Genomic DNA, 19456 nt, shown 5'->3' with positions numbered 1-19456 from the left:
CAACAACTGCTGAAAGAAAAGAAGAAAGCGAGAAAGGAACAGTTCCTTTATGTATTCCCTCAACAAACTCGCTGCTGTGGTCCTGAGCACAGTGGAATGTCTGTGGCTGTGCTAGCCTCTTTTGTGGGTGATTGGTCACTGGGGAGCTTCTTTTGCACAGGGATAGGACTCAGACAGTCCCCACTGTGACATCAGCAGGTCAACATGCTCCAGAGGTGTGTTAGTTCTGAACTTTTAGCTCTGACTTAGTAATTGCTATTGATGCATTTTTCAATTAAGAGTGAAAGGAGTTAGACTCGGAATTTAGTCAGTGGGCTCCAAATTAAACTTGGGTACATGATCCTTGTGAAAAATCACTTTAACTTGTCAGTAGTTGGCAAACATACAGCAGTGGTTTTTCTGGCTGTGCCTTTGGCTGCATACTAACTGAACAGCAAGCTGTGTCCACTGATTGAATGAAAAAAAAATAATGATTTTGTGTTACAGGGACCTTTTTACAATATGCCAGAGGGACCTACTGGAGTCTCTTTAATCTTGAACAATGCTTGTTTCTTGCAGAGGCAAATTATGCAAATCAGTACTTAGTGTTCCATAATCAATCAGGTCTTTGTTGGAAGTGTTGTGAGTGCCAGCAGAACAGAATTTCTATCATCCTGGGAAGGGTGAGGGGGTTTGCAAGTCAAACCACTGCTGTGATCAGCAAAGGACACTTGCCGACTGCTTTGAACTCTCCCCACAGTCAGAATGCGGTCGCTCTTTGAGAAGAATCCCATCATTTTGTACCAGGGTTTTTGTTGTACAGTATATCGTGCTTTGGGTAATTCACAAAACACCCACGAAGGAACAGCTAGCAAGGCTGTTCTGTGGGTGACACATAAAAACAAAGCTGGGCCTGCCGCCTGGGATGGCAGCTGGCAGCCATGCTCCCAGAGCTCCCTTTGTGTGGAATCTGCCTAGAGTGCAGTGTTTCAGAATATTCCTGGACTCAACTCATCTGTAGTGCATATGTATGCTTAAAAACAATCTCATTTCAGCTTCCTCCTGCACAGAATGGTGAACCTTTATTAATCCTTTGATTCCAGATCAAAAGAATCAGAGAAATTTTTAAAGTCCTTGGGAAAAAACTGCTGTTTTTGAGAGGTCCTGTTATTACTGCTGCTCTAATACTTGTGTTGCCATCTAGTGGATAATGGGAAGTATGTGGCTGCCTTAGTATGTTTGGAGTTTATTGTACCCTATTACTGATTCTTGAAGGGGATAGAAAATCAATTCAAAAAGTTTTTTAAAAAAAGAAAATCCCATGTGGAGCATTAAATAGTTATTGAGGAGCCACTTTGGGCTAGGCAGACGCCTCAGCAGCTTATGTCAGGGAGACATGAAAACAATTCAAAACTCAGAAGATGGTGACATCTCTGCAAGGGATGTATTTGCAAGATGGATCCTTAACCTGGCCTCGAGTTAGCAGGGAAGCCTTTAGGAGGTGTGACACCTGAGCAGAGCCTCACGCATAGGAGTGAGTCAGAAGACAGGATTGGGAAGCAGGGAGGGCTTTGCGTCTGGAGACAGCAGCAGAGCGTAGGGCACTGGCGGGCCTTGGGCATGAGGATGTGGGCTTATCCTGGGTTAAAGGGGAAGGTAATGTACAGTTTTAGTCAAGGAAGTATGTGGGAAGATTCACCCTTTTTGATTGTTTAATAACATGTTTTATCTGATTATAAGGATTTTACGTAGTAACTGTAGAAAAATTTTAAAGTGCAAAAAGTATGAAGAAGAAAGCAGTCTCCAAATCTTACCACCTACAATCATTGATACCTTGCCGAGCAGTCTTTTAGATTCCCCTCTATGTATGTATACAGCTCTAGGTGTGCATTTCCTATGTTTCACGCATATGGGTCACACCATACATGCTTTGGGCAACCTCTGTTTTGTCTCAGTTTTTCCCCACTAGGTAATATGCTTATGGGACTTTCATCCATGTTAGTAGTTCCTGGTGTTGAGTCCATGTCAACTGTGTAGATCCACTGATAGGACCAGCTCTCACAGGAGACCTGTTTGCCTATTGGGATGCTGTGTTGTTTTGTTTGGTGTTTCCTAGTAAAACCTTTATGTGTATAAGAGCAGATAATGTAAGAGAGTCTTTTTTTCCCCCTGTCAAATGCATCTCATGTAGGGACCATACTGCTGTTTTATAATGAATTTGGTTTTATGGTAGATGGGTTTTATGGAGAATTTCAATGTCTTGATGATCTAGGAAATTAGCGTCATTAAAATATAGCTAGTTAAAAAGTAAACTTGATTTATCTTTGGAGAAAGAATGGGATGAGTCAGATGAATGCCTGTAGTTTTAGAATGGAGTTTAAATAACTTGTTTGGTTAAGTATTAGCCTAATGAAGGAGCCAGAGCCTGGCTGATCCTGGATTGTGGCTGTTAGTTCTGTGCTGGCCCATAGCTATAGACAGTGCCTTTCACCTGAACAAGTTAGATCTCACTATGTCCCTTCTACAGGTCTGGTAAATGCGACCTGCAGTGACTTAATTGTACTCAGATGGGACAGCAGAGTCATCTTTGTGGGTAGACTTGCAGAAGCTAAAAGCACACAGGCACTCGGTTTGAGACATACCAAACAAAAATTTATTTTTGTATTTATTTCAAACCATTTATACAGGATGTGTTAGTTTACTGTCTTCTCATCTGCAAAAGGGTAATAATGATACCTACCCTAAGGGATTGTTAGGAGAAGCAAATCGGATGCATAGCATTTAGATTGGTGCCTGCCGTATAGTATGTAGTACTCAATAAAAATTGACTATTAACTTGTGCCACTACTATTTTTTAAAAATAGTTTTTACCCAATTCCCTTTTGTAGTGAAGCCCACGGAGATTAAGCAACTTGCTCAAAATTTCAGCTGGCAAAGGTTAAAAGTTGAGTGGAGCTTGTAAAATATATCCCTTTCTTCCCAGTCCAGTGGAACTACCTGAAAGAAAAATACAGGAGTCAGCAAGAAAAAGCCAAGTGGAGAACCTGACTTTAGAGTTATGGCCCAATACGAGTGGGGCATGGGCCAGAATATACCCTCTCTGCTGGCTGGTCGATCTGAAAAGAGGAGAGGACAGGGCAGCATGCTCTCCCTTCTCAAAATCTGAACACAGCTCTCTCCTCTTCCCTCTAAGAAGAGTGAGTAAAGGTTGGGAGATAGGCCAGGAAGACTGGTCCAGCTGAAGTCCCTCCACATGATGCATGGCAGTGGGGAATAAGGAATCCCTTCACAGTAAGTGGCAAAGCAGGGAGTAGAACCCAGGCACCTTGGCCAACTCCCTGGATTTCATGCCCATCTTTCTTTTGTCCACCCTGATTCATCCAGGCCCCCCACAGAGTCTTTTCCTCTGCCCTCTACCCTATTCTAAGCTAAAAACTGAATATAGATGAACTCAAACGGGAGAATGAACAATCCTGGATGTTGCTTTCGTTACTTGTTTAAACCATGTTTTCAGGTGGCTTGATGATAGATACTCAAAATGCACTGGTCACCGTTGTACTGCCAGTCTTTCTGACCATTCTTTTTCCTTGCTGTATTTGTGAACCTTCTTCTCAATACCCCTATGGGCTTGCCAATCCAAAGCCCCCCATGTCGTAAAACACAAGGAACAGTAGTAGCCAACTTCAGAGGAGACAAATGTCAATCAGTGAAAACGTTTTTGTTTTTTTTTTTTGCCGATCTTTCTGTATCCAGTGTAGTTAATTTGTTAAAAAATCAACATATACAAATACTCTCACAAATACTCTCATGAAGCTCAGTTTCTTTCTATGAAGAAAAATTCAGACCTAACTAAGCTAAACATAACATGAACACCGTGAGTCATACAGATCTGTGATCAATGCCAATTCTTCCGTTTATTAGCCTTGTGACCTTGCTTAGGTTTGTTTCCATGTTTACTAGGTGGGGCAGGAGGAGGTAATGTCTAATTCGTACGATCGTTATGGAGGGGTGGAAACCACAGAGCACACGTCAAGCAGTTTATGCACTACCTGGCACACACGTGGCGGGTGCTCTGTAAGTAGCGATCACGATTGGGTGAAATCAAGCATGTACTGCATGTTGAATAGAGATGTAGTACAAAAAGAAAAGAGCAGGTTGATGTTGATATTGCCCACGTGGAGGCTTTTTCTCAGTTCCCAGGTGCTTCCTTGCAAATATAGCACTGGAAAACTGTAGTTGTGACTTGCCAGGATTCTGTGTAAATTTGGCAGTTAAGAACTCAAGACTGGTACTTAGACTGGCTGGATTGGATCCAGGCTTCAACCCACATGTCCCTGAGGAAATTCCTTATCCTCTCTCTGACTCGGTTTTCTCATCCATGGGGCAGCCATGATGCTGTCACTGCTCCTGGGCATTGCTGGGAGAAGTGGGTGAGTAGCACACACAGAGCTCTTTTGGACTTCCGCCTGACTGGGAGTGAGGTCCCAGTGAAAGTTTTGTTGTTGTTTTTTGGTGGCATTGATCCTGTTACATGGAATTTAAGCAAAGATTGCAAGTACTTAGAAATAAAGTAGCCAGAGATTGTTGGGATTTAGTTGTTACTAAGTAAGGGTTGTTCCTAGTTTGGTAGCAGAAAATCTCTACCTCAAAATGACTAAAAATGTTAAAAGAAGAAAGTACTACATGAGTTTGTTTTGTTTCGTTTTGTTTTGTTTTGAGACCGAGTCTCGCTCTGTCACCAGGCTGGAGTGCAGTGGCGCGATCTCGGCTCACTACAACCTCCACCTCCAGGGTTCAAGTGATTCTCCTGCCTCAGCCTCCCGAGTAGCTGGGATTACAGGCATGTGCGTCACCGGCTAGTTTTTTTGTTTTGTTTTGTTTTGTTGTTTTGGTTTTTTGGTTTTTTTTAATTGTATTTTTAATAGAGACGGGGTTTCGCCATGTTGGCCAGTCTGGTCTTGAACTCCTGACCTCAGGTGACCCGCCCGCCTCAGCCTCCCAAAGTGCTGGGATTACAGGCTTAAGCCACTGCCCAAGCCCCGAGATTTTTTAAAATAACATGTTATTATGGAAAATTTCAAATATATACTAAAGTGGAATAGCACAAGGAACCCCCCATATAAGCATGTACTCACCTTCAGCCTTGAGCAACTCAGGACTCATCCTGTTGCATCTGTTACCTCCCCCTGTCTTATTGTGAAGCAAATCCTGGGCATTGTATAATTTTACTTGTAAGTTGTTCCGTGTATAAAATATAAGGATTCTAAAAACAGAAAGATAAATGAAAACATAATCCTAGTACATAATATCATTATTACACCTAACTGAAATTTATTATTCCTTAATATCACTAAATATTAAGTAGGAGATTCTTTAGTGAAATAACAATATACAGTGGACATTAAAACGACTTTAACATCAAATGAAACTAAAAAACACCAACATATTTATTAATTTAACAGTACTGAGGGAGCCCATGCTAGTTCCCCGTAATGGTTAAGGGTTCTAGTTCCAGCTCAGTCAGTCTTGAGCTTTGGTTTCTTTCCACTAAGAATATCTGTTTCCACAGGTTATCAGAGTTAAGTGAAATAACTCATTTACAGTAACTAGTATAGAGGAGACATTAAATAAATATTACATTCCTTTCCTTTTTCTTTTATCTACAGTTCAATTCTTGTTTTAAACTACACTTTATGTTAGAAATACAGAATTCTCTATTCTTTGTCCATACCCTTCCTCTCTGATGGAGACATATTTAATATGGCGGTGTAATCAAACCGTAGCTCACTGATGAAAACTCTTTTCCATGATAGACCATCAGTCTGATGGAAGACTGTTCACTTGTGAGGACAGATGATCTTGTGAAGCTGTTAGGTTGCCCAGTCTTAGTAGATTTTACATGGTGATGCTGCACCTTCTGAACACACCTCAAGTAAGAGGCATTCTCTTGATGTATATACTTATTCCTACTTTATCATATTAAGTGACTCTTCCAAAATTAGCACTGCATGTGGAAACATTTAAAGTCCAAAACATAGGCCGGATATGGTGGCTTATGCCTGTAGTCCCAGCACTTTGGGAGGCCAAGGGGGGAGGATCACTTGAGCCCAGGAATTTGAGACCAGCCTGGGCAACATAGCAAGACCCCATATCTACAAAAAAGAAAAAAGAAAAATCCAAAGCATACAACTACTTAACCTCTCTAAAAATGTGAAAATGTAATGAGCACGTCAGAATTGTATGCGCTATAATATGCGGTCTTTGCCAGTTTATTCTGAAAAATAGGACTGAGTCTAACAGTAAATAGATTAAGCTTGGCCAAGAGTCTTTATAAAGTTAATGGTAGTCATGTGATTAAACAGTCAAATCATTCTCTGCAGAGATAATTGTATTATGCTATTTGGGGACTTAGGTATGCCTATGTAGATAAATCAAAGATTTGTTGAACTTTTTTCTTTGTTGTTGATTTGTCATGTTTTTTTTTTTGTTTTTTTTTAAAGAAATTAATAGAAAATTCAGAGCTCTCAAATTTCTAAAGAAATCTTAATGTTCCTTTATTTTTTCATTCTCAGCATTTAAAATATCATACATTGTGTTCCTGTTAAGTATTGAGTTATTATACTGATGTAATTTAGTCAGTAATTACTTAACACACCTCTTATCAAGAATTCTGTTTAATCCTGAACCACCTGCACTCTGTTTTAATAACCTCGTTTCATAGAAATTTCCCATTACAGAGCATATGAAGTTGGGATCACATTTGTTAGACTAACTGCAACCTCTTGTATAATAATTATGTGCTTGTGGGCCTCTGTGGAGCTTGCTTGCTCCTGGCATTCATCCCTAGGCACCATCCCTCCCTTGTAGAATAGAACTAACTAAAAGTAGGGGTGGGCAGCTGGATCTAACCTGTACAGTAGATTCCTCTGCACTTTTCAAAACTTTGTATGGAAAACTTTATGGCTTCTAAAAAAACACCTGTTGTGGATAGTAAGGTTCTTAGTAGGTGTATTAGTTTCTCATTGCTGCTGTAACCAATTACATCAAACTTGTGGCTTACAACAACACAGATTTATTATCTTATAGTTCTATAAGTCAAGTGTCCAAAATGGGACTCCCTGAGCTAAAATCAAGGTGTTGGCAGGACCGTGTTCTTTTCTGGAGGCTCTAAGGAAGGCCCATTGCCCTGCCCTTTCCAGCTTCTAGAGGCTGCCCACATTCTTTGGCTTCCTTTCCCCATCTTCAAAACCAGCAACATTGGAATGAGTCTTTCTCACATTGCATTACTCTCACTCTCCCTTCTGCCTCCCACTTCCACATTTACCGACCCTTGTGATTGAGCCTACCCAGATAATTCAGGATAATCTCTCTACTTTAAGGTCAGCTGATCAGCAACCTTAACTCATGTGCTGCATTAATGCCCTGTTGTCATGTAACACCATATAGTCACAGGTTCTGGCGATTAGGAGTTGGACATCTTACAGGGGGATGGGCCTGGGGAAGCTGGAAAACCATTATTCTGCCTACGGTAGCAGGTATAATCCTTCTGGGATTATTCAGTACCCACTATTTATTCAATATTTAGTAAAAGTTTCTGAGGGTCTGCTTTGTGCCAGAAACTGCCTGACAAGCTCTGGGGAAAGAGAGAGGACTCTCTGCCCTCTCAGAGTTTGCAGTCTGGTGAAGGGAAATCAGTTTATGAACTAGTCATTGTTATCATGAAGGAACAGGTGCTGAAATAGATGCACATGTAGCGTTTTGTGCGGGAATGGGATCTGACTGCAGCTGGGAGTGTAGGGTGAGTATGAGGAGGAAAAGAGAATCTTGAATGAGGAGGAAGAATTTGCCTGGGAGAGAATGATGGGTAGGGCGTTCCAGGGAAAGGGAGAACCATATGGGTATGCAAGTGAGGGGAAGGCCTGGGACTTGGAGGCTGGAGTGGTGCGGGGTGTGCGGCAGGGACTTTCAGCGCTGAGTTGTGAAGGGCCTTGAGTGCTGCATTTGGGAGTTTGGACTTTTTCCCGTTGTTTAGACACTGAGATGACTCATTGGCTTTCCTTTGGCAAATCAGCATGCAGAGCTGCTTCCTTTAACTGCAGTGTATTTTGAAACCAGAATTCACCACTGTCGAATGTATTCTACCCACGCATTTCCCTTGCTTTGCTCATTTATGCTGTTCACATGGCCCCTGGAAGTAGTTGAGTGTTTGACCCCTGGTAGGCAGGGGAAGGAGGTAAGGAGATGGAAACCATTGAAGGTTTTGAAACAGAGGAGTAGCTTGGTCAAATCTTTTATGTGATGGAATGAACACCTTGCTTGCGTATCTCTTAATTTTTTTCCCAACAGACTTAAAAGTCAGATTTCCGACCGGGCGCGGTGGCTCACGCCTATAATGCCAGCACTTTGGGAGGCTGAGGCGGGCGGATCGCGAGGTCCGGAGATCGGGACCATCCTGGCTAACATGGTGAAACCCCGTCTCTATTAAAAATACAAAAAAATTAGCCGGGTGTGGTGGCGGGTGCCTGTAGTCCCAGCTACTCCGGAGGCTGAGGCAGGAGAATGACGTGAACTTGGGAGGTGGAGCTTGCACTGAGCCGAGATGGCACCACTGCACTCCAGCCCTGGTGACAGAGCAAGACTCCATCTCAAAAAAAAAAAAAAAAAAAGTCAGATTTCCTGATGCAGCCTAAGTGGAAAGCAGGAACAGGATTGTAAGGCAGGCAGGCATGGTGGTGCACTGGGAAACACGCTGAATTTGGACTCAGTCCTGAGCTTTTGAAACCAAGCTCACATACTAAATGTGTAACCTTGGACAAGTCACTTAGCTTTTCCCAAACTGGTTAATGAGAACAGTAAGAATCATAGCACAGCAGGGTTGTTGGGAAGAGAAATAGGCCATGTACGTGAAAGTGTTGAGCAGTGTCAGGGATGGTGGACAGTCTCTCAGTCCTGATTTGCTATCTGTGAAATAAATGAATATTGTGACCATACTTAATTCTTTTTCTTTGATTTGTTTGCTTACAATGCCTTAGGGTGTTTTTCTGAATCACATTTATAATAAGAGTCTAGACTATGTGGGAAATTTAGCTGAACCCAAACTGACATATCTCCAGACAAACCATGGATGTTTCTTTTGTGATCAATGCTATTTTGTATTTAGGCATATACTCATTCCACAGTGTTTATTGATCACCTCTGTGCTTCTTGTTGTGCTTACAACTGTAGGGAAAGATGGGCAGCCCCTCCTTGCATAGTTCTGCCACTGACAAAGAAGTGTGTATATAAAAGTTAGGTCAGAGTACATGGCCATGAATAATTGAGTGCCAAGAGTGTGGTGTGCAGAAGTCCTTTTAAGATCAGAGCAAAGTGAAAATTAGCCTGGGTTGGCCTTGACAGAAAAACTTCCATGGAAGAGATGAAAGTTCCGCAGACCTTGCAAGGCTGGGGCCACGTGTGTTTGGAACGAGTGCAAAGTGTGTGAGTCGGAAGCTGGAGTAAGACGTCGTCAGAGGACCAGCAGGCCACTGGCTAGTAATCATTCTCCCTCTGGAAACACGTTTGTCCCTATTGACTGTGGTCTGAGCGTTCTTCCCACCACTTTTTATTTATTTGTGAATTGCTAGTTCCATGCACAGTACCTGGCATGTAGTAGGTGCTTTAGAATAGGTTTTTATTATACTAGAAACAGCCATCACAAACACAGTGCTTTGTACCTGTATCTTTGAGTTCTTTTTCTTCATCCATGGAAATAGCCCATAGGAAAGACAGAGATTTGCTATGTGGGGATAAATTGTTACCCCTGAATCTTTGCTTTAACTCTGCTGCTCTGCATGGGCCCTATTTACAAACGCAACAGCTTCAGCTTTAGAACTGTCCCTTAGAACACTTGGAAGAAGGAATACTTGCTGTGCAATTTTAGCTATAAGAAAAGAAAAGGAATTAACCTTATTGAACACATGCTATGTAATTACTAGACATGCATTATCTCATTTCGTCTTTAACTTACCTAGAAATCACCTACTCATAGTGTCATAGGTCCTAATAATTAGAGGTGGAAGGAACCATCGATGAGAGACTGAGGCCCAGGAATGGTAACTAATTTGTGACTGTACGAGAGTCCAAAACCGACGGTGCTCAGTTTGTAGCTTCAGAATCTTTCTGCAATTTGCATTTTATTCTCTATTAATTTAAAATTCATTACATGAGTGTAACATATCTATATAAACTGTTGGCTTTCTTTTTTAATTTTAGATTTCTCACATTGGCAAACTGAGAGATTTTCTTCTGGAACACAGGAAAGATTATATTAATGCTTATAGGTAAGTACATATTTTTTTACCAGGACTTTGGTGACTGTGTTCTTTTCTACACCTATATTTCTTTTGCGCTTTTTGCCCTCACCTTTTTCTTAATAACTCAGAGTTGTAATGAGGAAGACCAGTTTGGCAGTGGAAAAATCTCCTCAAAGCAAAAGGCTCTGCTGTACTCCATGTCCTCAAAGTCATGAAATCACAACAGCAATATCTTCCAGTCTATTTGTATCTCTCTATGTACCATTATCTCCTGTCAAATGAAACTCCATGAGTACTTACAGAGCTGTATTTGAAGTTGGGGACACATGTATTTGTATGCCCTCAACCTGTGGAAGAACAAAGTTTTCAAGCCTCTGCTAAGCTATTTTTGCCCATCTCTTGCGGTCCCAGTCTGTGACACCAGTTTTGCTGGTTTGGTGACGTTCTCATGAGCACATTTCAGTCCTTACCCTCACGTCGCTGGATCATGCCTCCCTCGCCAATTCCCAGTCCTCAGTCCTGATGGCCATTTTCTTCTTTTGTCCTTCTCCCAGGCTTTTGACACCTGCTAGAGGCAGCTACACACCCACTTTGGCATAGCCTTCATTTCTTACGGCACTTTTGCTGAATCCTTCTGTTCATCCCCTAATGTTACTCATGTTGACATTCCTTCTGGTGGCTAAGTCTAGTTTCTACTCAGTAGCCAGAGTCTTTTTTAAACTTTAATTGGATTATGTCACCACCTGAGTAAGCCCACCATGAATACTGCATTGGAATTAGCATTAATACCAGCCTCTACACTGCGGTCTCCCCACTCCTGATCTAGCCCCTGGCCTTATTTCAAACACCGCCTTCCCACGACGGTGCTCCAGCCATGCCAGCCTTCCTTAAAGGTGCCATGCCCTTTCCTGGTGCAGGGCCCAGGCCTATGCTGTTCCTCCTCTTCCCATGGTGGTTTCCTTTTCAAACTTAAAGGCTCAACTTAATAGTCCCTCTTCCCAGAGGCCTTCTCTCACTACCCTTTATAAAGTAGGTCTCTTCTGTTAGTTAGTTTCTCCACCCTGTATATTTTCTTCAGTAACAAAACACAATTTGTAATTATTTAATAATTACAGTTTATTATCTGTCTTTGTCACCAGGCTGTACATGTCATGAGGTCAAGGACCTTGTCAGGTTTCCATCGTGTTTCCATAGTTCCTCACCCATATTTGGCACTCAGTAAATACTTGTTGAATGAATGATTTCCTCCTAGTCCTAAAGTCCATGACTAGCCCAGCAGCACTCAACTGTGGTGATTTTGCACCCCAGGGGACATTTGGCAATGTCTGGAGACATTTTTGTTTTTCCCAACTAGGAAGAGGAGTATTGCGCATTTAGTGGGTAGAGGCCAAGAATGTGCACAACTCAGGACAACTCTCCACAACAGGGACTTACCCGGCCCAAAACTGAGGAGGTGCTGACATTGAGATCCCCTGCTGCAGCCTGACCCCTCACTTCAGATTAAACTTCCTGGTTCGTCACAGGTTTATTGAATTCTAGATGCTTAGGGCACATCTGGGGGTAAAATACAAATATTCCTGCCCTCATGGCGTTTGCATTCTCGTGGGCTGGCAAAGACAAGCACTACGTGTATAGTACATTAGGTCATAGGTCCTATGGAAAGAAAAGGAAGAGTAGAACCAAGGTAACAGGGATCGGGAGTGCTGGGAAAGCTTGTGATTCTTACACAGAGTAGTCAGGAAGGCCCCATCGAGGTGGCATCAGAGCCTACTCCTCGGTAAAGTTTGGAACCTCTAATAGGGTCTCTCAGTTTCCTCCTCACCTCATCACCTTCTTTCCACCTGTCATAGAGAAACCCCTCTCTTTGTTTTTAAGGATACTGTCCTACTTGTGTATAAACTAAAGGGAAGAAAAAAGCCAGACGACCAAAAATAGCTGGGAATCATGAATGCAGCAGTACCTGAGAAGTGGTGCGAGTGCATCCTTTATGTCATCACTCACACCGCCTCTCAGGTACCGCTGTGCTCATGATTCCTGGCCAGTTTTCATCATCTGGCTCTTTTCTTCCCTTTAGTTTATACATTCAGCGGTACAAGCATATCCTTTATCTCATCCCTCACACCGCTTCTCAGGTACTGCTGTATTCATGATTCCCAGCTATTTTTGGTCATCCGGTTCTTTTCTTCCTTTTAGTTTATACATTTGACCTTGCTTGCTCCTTAAGCCAACAGGCCCTGTCGCTTCATTTCACGTCAGTGCCAAACATGGGGAGAAAGTCTAATCAGGGATCAGCCAACTTTCTATAAGAGCCAGGTAGTATAGTTTAGGTTCTGTGGGCCACATATGGTTTCTGTCACATATTTTTTGTTTTGTTTTTTTTACAACCTTTAAAAACCTTTAACCATTCTTAGTTCTCAGACCATAGGGAGCCATGCCTGCAGGCTAGACTTGGCCTACGGACTGCAGGTGACGTGACCTCTGCTTCCTCACCTTTTACTCTGCGCCAACCATATGGCTCGGTTTCCCTCACTTTTCTGAAATTTTTCTCCTAATGCTCATCTGTGACTTCCTAATCACCAAATCCAGTGGCTTTTCCTCAAGGGGAATATAAATAGACTTGTATGGTACACACTCTGGTGTGTCTACCTTCTTTTACTCCACATGTTTTTGAGGTTCTTGCATGTTGTGTATACCAGTAGTTTGTTCCTTTCTGTTGCTTTATTATTTTTAATATTCCATTGTGTGACGTTACCATAGTTTGCTTATCCATTTATCTAATAGAGAATACGGGGCTGTTTCCACTTTGAGACTATTAGGAATAAAGCCTTTGTGAGTAGCATCTTCTACAAGTCTCTTTGTGGACATACTGATTTATTTCCTTTGAATAAATACCTAGGGGTGAAATTAGTGGGTCATACAAATGGTAGGTGCATGCTCAGCCTTAAAATAAACTACCAAGCAATTTTCCAAAGTGGTTTTTCACTCCTTGTAGCAATGCATGCGAGTTATAATTGCTCCCTATCCTTGCCAACATTTGGTGTAAATAGGCTTTTCAGTTTTAACCATGATAATGTAACCGAGCCCAGGCTTGGCTGCTCACCGCTTGCAAAGCCAATAACAAGGACGAAAGGAAGGTGACTTTATTTCCAGAGCAAGCAGTGGGAAGGCAGGAGCGATGCTGCGTACTAGGTCTGTGTGTCTCTTTCTGATAGCTATCATCGCAGGCTGGCGACATGTCAGCAATGGCCGGGTTGTAGACTACCCGCCTTGAGGTAATCTCTGGAATTTTGCAGTTAGGTCTCCGTGCTCAGTCTATTTCAAGTTAGCCCCTGCAACTTCCAGGTAAGCACATAATTAGATACATACAGTTAGGTAAATGTGCATGGTGTAAGGGAATGTATGGTGAGAAAGGGAGGGGACGTGGTGTTTCAGAGAAAGTACGTTTCAAGGCTGTATTCTAAGACTAAGGAGGAAAAAAAAGGGTTTCTGCAGTAAGCCTTAGGATTACATCTTGAGACTAGGGAGAAAAGAGAAAAAGGAATAAAAAGTTTTAAAGTGCACTTTCAGGCTAGCCTGTCTAATTCCAGTGACAAATGTGAAATGGCAAGTCACTGTACTTGAAGTGTGTCCTTCTCTAATGAGAATGATGTTAAGCGCCTTGATGGTTTTTTCTCAGCTCTTCTACTTTGCCACAGCCTTTGATCCTGTTGACCATCATCAGTTTCTTGAAATTTCCTATTCCCTTGACTTCCATTACAGTATTTTTTTGGCTCCTCTCACCACTCATTTTTGCCTCTTTGTCCTTCATCTATCCCATAAGAACTCCGGGGCTCTGTTTCAGGCCCTTTTCTTTTCTTTGTCTCTACTTTGCTTAGAAAAAAAGTTCTATCTACCTCCCTAGCTACCCTCCCACCCACCCCCCATGCCCACCTTATCTTTCCATCCTGAATGTTTATTCTGTGTTAGGTACTCTGATAAGCACCAGTTATTCATATTTTATCTCATTTGTTCCTCACATCAACCCTATGAGGAAGGCACTGCTGTTAAGCCTGTGTGGCAGGCAGGCAATGAAAGCATAGCGATGGCATAACCTGAAGATCACAGCTGGTGAGCTCTGAGCCAGGGCTGGCCATGGAATCCTTGCCCTTGCCCACCACACATTCTTACCACCTACTGTGGCTTCCTCTCTCACCAGTATGCCAGTAGTGAAACCACCTTTGCAAAGGTTGTAACAGTGAGAAAGTTATGACAGCGAACGAGATCTGACCTAATCAACTCCATCTTGCCTTTAACCTCCCAGATGCCCTTGATCATTACTAGTCGTAGGCCAAACTAACTTTGGGAGGAAGTTAATTTATAGTTTAACTTTGAAACAAATGTGATAACAGCCCCTCTTGGAAACAAACGCCCTTCTTGCTTGGGGACAAGGCCACCTTTGTAAAACCAACAAATTAGCCACGAGATTAGAAATTATGGCTCAGGAGTCATGTAGCCAGAGGCCAGAAGACTGCTAACCTCCCCATTTGCTCCTATAGATAACATTACTGCTATAAAACCTAAGATTGATGTTAGAGGTATTTTCAGACCCCACATTTTGATGGATCAGCTGGCACCATGCAGACCAGGACACTGGCTCATCTGGTCTTATGGCCCCCACCCAGAAACTGACTCTGTGCAAGAGGACAGCTTCGACTCCCTAGGATTTCATCCTTAATCCAACCAGTCAGCATTCCCCATTCCCTAGCCCCCTGCCCACCAAACTGGCTTTTAAAAATCGAGCCTCCAAATCTTCAGGGAGGCTGATTTGAGTAATAATAAAACCCCAGTGTCCCTTTTAGACAGCTCTATGTATATTTAACTCTTTCTCTATTGTAGTTCCCCTGTCTTGATAAATCAGCTCTATCTGGGCGGTGGGCAAGATGAACCTGTTGGGCAATTACAGTTGTTCCTAAATGCATGTCATAGGCACAGGCTTCTCCCAGTCCCCATTGCCACTGTCCTGCTCGCCCAGCACCTGTGAGCAGCACCATTCCCATGCATGCTGCCCGCTCCTCCCATCCGCTCTAGAGTGCTTCAGTGCAGCCTTTGTCACTTGCCTGATCTCTTTGTTCTCAACTCCCTGCTCTTTGTCCCTTCCTCTCCTGGTCTGTCTGGAAGGCACAGGTGTAGTCCTTATCATCGTAGATGGAATCACGTGCTTCCCTCTTCAAATCCCTTCTCTGCCTGCAGGATGTGGCCCATCCATACTTCTTAGATAAGCAAGACTTTTCATTACCCTCACCCACTTTTCCATCCTACCCCTTTCCTTCATGTGCCCTACAGCTGCATTCAGAATTAACATTTGTTCTGCCTCCAGGCCTCTACTCACACTATCAGGTTGGCCTGTTGCTCTTCACTCCAATCCACACATGTCACATGTTCACATGCTTCCATCCTGAGAGACCCATTTATCACCACCACCTTCTCGGTAGAGCCTGCCCTGGCCCTGCCTTCCTATCTGAAAGCCATCTCTCCTGCCTCTGAATACTGACAGCTCTTTTTCTGTGCTTTTCTTATGGTACTTTTCACATGTGCCTGGTAGAAGAGTAATTTGTTCGTAATCACTTCTACCACATTTCTTGAGGTGAAAAACTGTGTCCTACTCATCTCTGCATGTTTATAGTGCCATGATTTGATCAATTTGATTCATTAATCAGCTTATTCATTCTGCAGTTATTTATTGAGTGCCTACCATGTGCCATAGACTATGCCAGGCATGGAGTATAAAATAGTGAACAAACACAAACATGGTTGTCCCTGCCTTCATGGAGCTGCTAAGGTATTCATGTCAACAGGTAACATTGCAGATATGATAGGTACTGCAAAAACAGTACAGATAGCTTTTTATTTTTCCAACTTTTAAGTTCCTGGGTACATGTGTAGGATGTGCAGGTTTGTTACATAGGTAAATGTGTGCCATGGTGGTTTGCTGCACAGATCATCCCATCACCCAGGTATTAAACCCAGCATCCATTAGCTATTCTTCCTGATGCTCTCCCTTCTCCCACCCCTGATCCTCCAACAGGCCCCAGTTTGTATTGTTCCCCACCGCCTCATGTCCATGCGTTCCCATAATTCAGCTCCCATTTATAAGTGAGAACATGTGGTATTTGGTTTTCTGTTCTTACGTTAGTTTGCTGAGGATAATGGATTCCAGCTCCATCCATGTCCCTGCAAAGGACATCATCTCATTCCTTTTTATGGCTGCATAGTATTCCATGATGTATATGTTCCACATTTTCTTGATCCAGTCTATCATTCATTGATGGGCATTTAGGTTGATTCCATGTCTTTGCTATTGTGAATAATGCAGTGATGAACATACAAGTACTTGTCCATGTGTCTTTATAATAGAATGATTTGTATCCCTTTGGGTAGATACCCAGTAATGGGATTGCTGGGTCAAATGGTATTTTTGCCTCTAGGTCTTTGAGGAATCGCCACACTGTCTTCCACAGTGGTTGAACTAATTTATGCTCCCACCAACAGAACAAAGATAAAACTTACCAGAATCTCTGGGATGCAGCTAACACAGTGTTAAAAGGGAAATTTATAGCACTAAATGCCCACATCAAAAAGCTAAAAAGATCTCGAGTTAACACCTAACATCAAAACTAAAAGAACAAGAGCCAAGAGCAAACAAACCCCAAAGCTAGCAGAAGACAAGAAATAACCAAGATCAGAGCTGAACTAAAGGAGATAGAGACACACACAAAAAAAAAAACGCTTCGAAAAAATCAATGAATCCAGGAGCCACTTTTTTGGAAAAATCCAGGTTTTTGCAAAAAATTAATGAGATAGACTGTTAGCTAGACTAATAAAGAAGAAAAGAGAGAAGATTTAAATAAACACAGTTAGAAATGTTAAGAGGGATGTCACCACTGACCCCACAGGTATACAACTGCATGGAAATCAAACAACCTGTTCCTGAATGACTCTTGGGTAAATAATGAAATTAAGGCAGAAATCAAGAAGTTCTTTGAAACTACTGCAAACAGGTAGCTTTTGAGGAATTTAGCCTTGTCAGAGAAAGTGTCCTTAAAGAAGTGACATTTGAGCTGAGCTCTGAAGGAGTACGAGTTACCTAGGTAAAGCAAGAAGGAGGGAAGGGAATCCAAATGCAAAGGGGTTGGCACGTGCATACACCCTGCAGACAGCGTCTGTCCTGTAGTGAAACATGCAGAGATGAAAAAGATAGTTTCTCACACACTAAATATTTATCGAGCAGATGAAGGAATGATGCAAGTCATCGAAAATGCCATTTGGAAAGAAAAAGAGAAAAAAACATTATAAGCAACACTTCTAAAACGCTTTCTGGAATAGACTCCAGCTCTCCATAGACAGTGGGAGTACAGGTGTCTTGTCTCGTCTCTTCCCCTAGCTCCATTTGCACTGGCTTTAGGATGGCATTTTACCGTAGGACTCATCTTCAAATGTATTATGTAAATTAATGAAAAAGTTGGATTTGACAGATAAGATAACATCATTAGGAGCATCTTTTTAGGATTTCATCTTTATAAAACGAGGGGTGGTTGCCTTTCAGAAGCATTCCTGTCACAAAGATAGAGAATATAAAATAAATCCTGCTTTTTTTTAACTTTGTCAATATATGCAAAAATGGAAATACTTCTTATAAATTCTCCAATAGAGAAAAATAATTATACCCTAGTTGAATTTTAAATAATCCTTGATGCTTTGTCTACTTGCACTTAACATCCATAGGCAATTTTATGCTTTTAAATGCACTTCATTTGCATTATTTTGGAATATACTAAAATAATTATTCCGATGCATAGTACCAAGAAAACCTTATTTTTAAGCTCTGAGTTAAAAATAGTTGGTTAACACTAGATCGCAGTGTCAATTTTATTTCTAAAGGTGTGTATGTGTATCAAATACTGATTTGATAGGCTGTAAAAAATGGAAGCTACAGTGATTTTGTAAAACTTTACAAAACTTGTATAAAGCTCTCAATTTGTAGCTTCTTTCTTTAGTATCTGACAAGTTAGGTTGACGAGGTGGTTGTAAATATCTTTCATACAAATCACTTATTAACTTCCCTTTTCCTTGAAAAGAAATCCAGCAAAGTAAATGCTTAGAGTGTTGGTTTGATTCACACCACTCCTTACGAACCATGTGAATCTGTGAAACTCAGTGTCTTCCTCTAATGCTACAGGTCAGCAAATAACAGCCACAGGCCAAATCTACATTTTAAATATACTTTTAAATGTAGTTACATATTTTAATGTTGGGGAAAAAGTAATAAGGATATTTTATCACATGTGAACATTATGTGAAATTCAAGTTTCAGTGCCCATAATAAAGTTTTATTGGCACACAGCCACGTTCATTTGTTTACATATTGTCTAGGGCTGTTTTTATGCTACAACAGCAGAGTTGAGTAGCTGTGATGGGCTACAAGGCCCACAAAGTCTAACATGTTTACTCTCTGGCCCTTTTCAGAAAAAATTTGCAAAGCCAACAGTGGGAGGGATACTCACTCAGGAAGCAGTTGAGAGGTTCAAAGCAGACAGTATGATTCAAATGCAATGTGAAAAGAACAACACAGTGGCATCCGGGTGTTCTTCTGCAACTTTGCAGTTGTTTTAAGCTTTCGATGTAATAGTGATGTTAAGGCAGTTATTATACTCAAACAGCAAAAGGAGGCTCCTGCACACTGTTTTTCAGTGTTCCCAGACTACTGCAGCATGGATTCTCATCTTAGTACAGTAAAGAAGGGCCTAAGCCTTCCCCTTTCCCAGCTACAAGGGCAGCAAATGCTAGGACTGAGGATTGGGTTCCCTAGGGGCCAGTGCCAGCTCTGCCACTTAAGGGCAGATAACTTCAGAAGATAGAACTGTTGTCCCCGAGGCATTCTTCATTTTGTTAGGTACATCGCCTCATTCTAGAAACTCAGTCTTTTTTTTTTTTTTAAGGTGGTTTTGCTATGTTGTCCAGGTTAGCTTCAAAATCCTGAGCTCAAGTGATCCTCCTGCCTCAGCCTCCTGAGTAGTTGGGACTATAGGCATATGACATGATACCCAGCTAGAAACTCAGTCTTTTATCTTTTACTCATTTTCCCGAGGCCAGTTGTTCATTGCCAACTCATGCACACTGAATTCTACTCCACCCCCTGTTTTGGTCCC

The 19456-nt window shown here is 41.9% G+C and overlaps 1 protein-coding gene and 1 long non-coding RNA gene across 5 annotated transcripts in view; both read left to right on the top strand.

Moving 5' to 3' along the window:
- STX18 (syntaxin 18) overlaps positions 1–19456 on the top strand; it is a 123376-nt gene that overhangs the window by 60407 nt on the left and 43513 nt on the right. For all 4 annotated transcript variants that reach the window (NR_144414.2, NM_001346282.2, NM_016930.4 and 1 more), the window contains exon 2: positions 10231–10298. Coding sequence is in view for 2 of the 4 variants with exons in the window: in NM_016930.4 (NP_058626.1) it covers positions 10231–10298 (68 nt within the window). In the remaining 2 variants the exon portion in view is untranslated. The remainder of the gene's footprint in view (positions 1–10230; positions 10299–19456) is intronic.
- STX18-IT1 (STX18 intronic transcript 1) lies at positions 237–5816 on the top strand. The gene is made up of 4 exons (NR_126434.1): positions 237–332; positions 2963–3270; positions 3940–4053; positions 5793–5816. It is a non-coding gene; the product is annotated as an STX18 intronic transcript 1 (long non-coding RNA).

Source organism: Homo sapiens, chromosome 4, assembly GCF_000001405.40.
Source record: "Homo sapiens chromosome 4, GRCh38.p14 Primary Assembly".
NCBI lineage: Eukaryota > Metazoa > Chordata > Mammalia > Primates > Hominidae > Homo > Homo sapiens.
The sequence above is the reverse complement of the archived record's forward strand: the minus strand, read 5'-3'. Positions and strand labels throughout refer to the sequence as shown.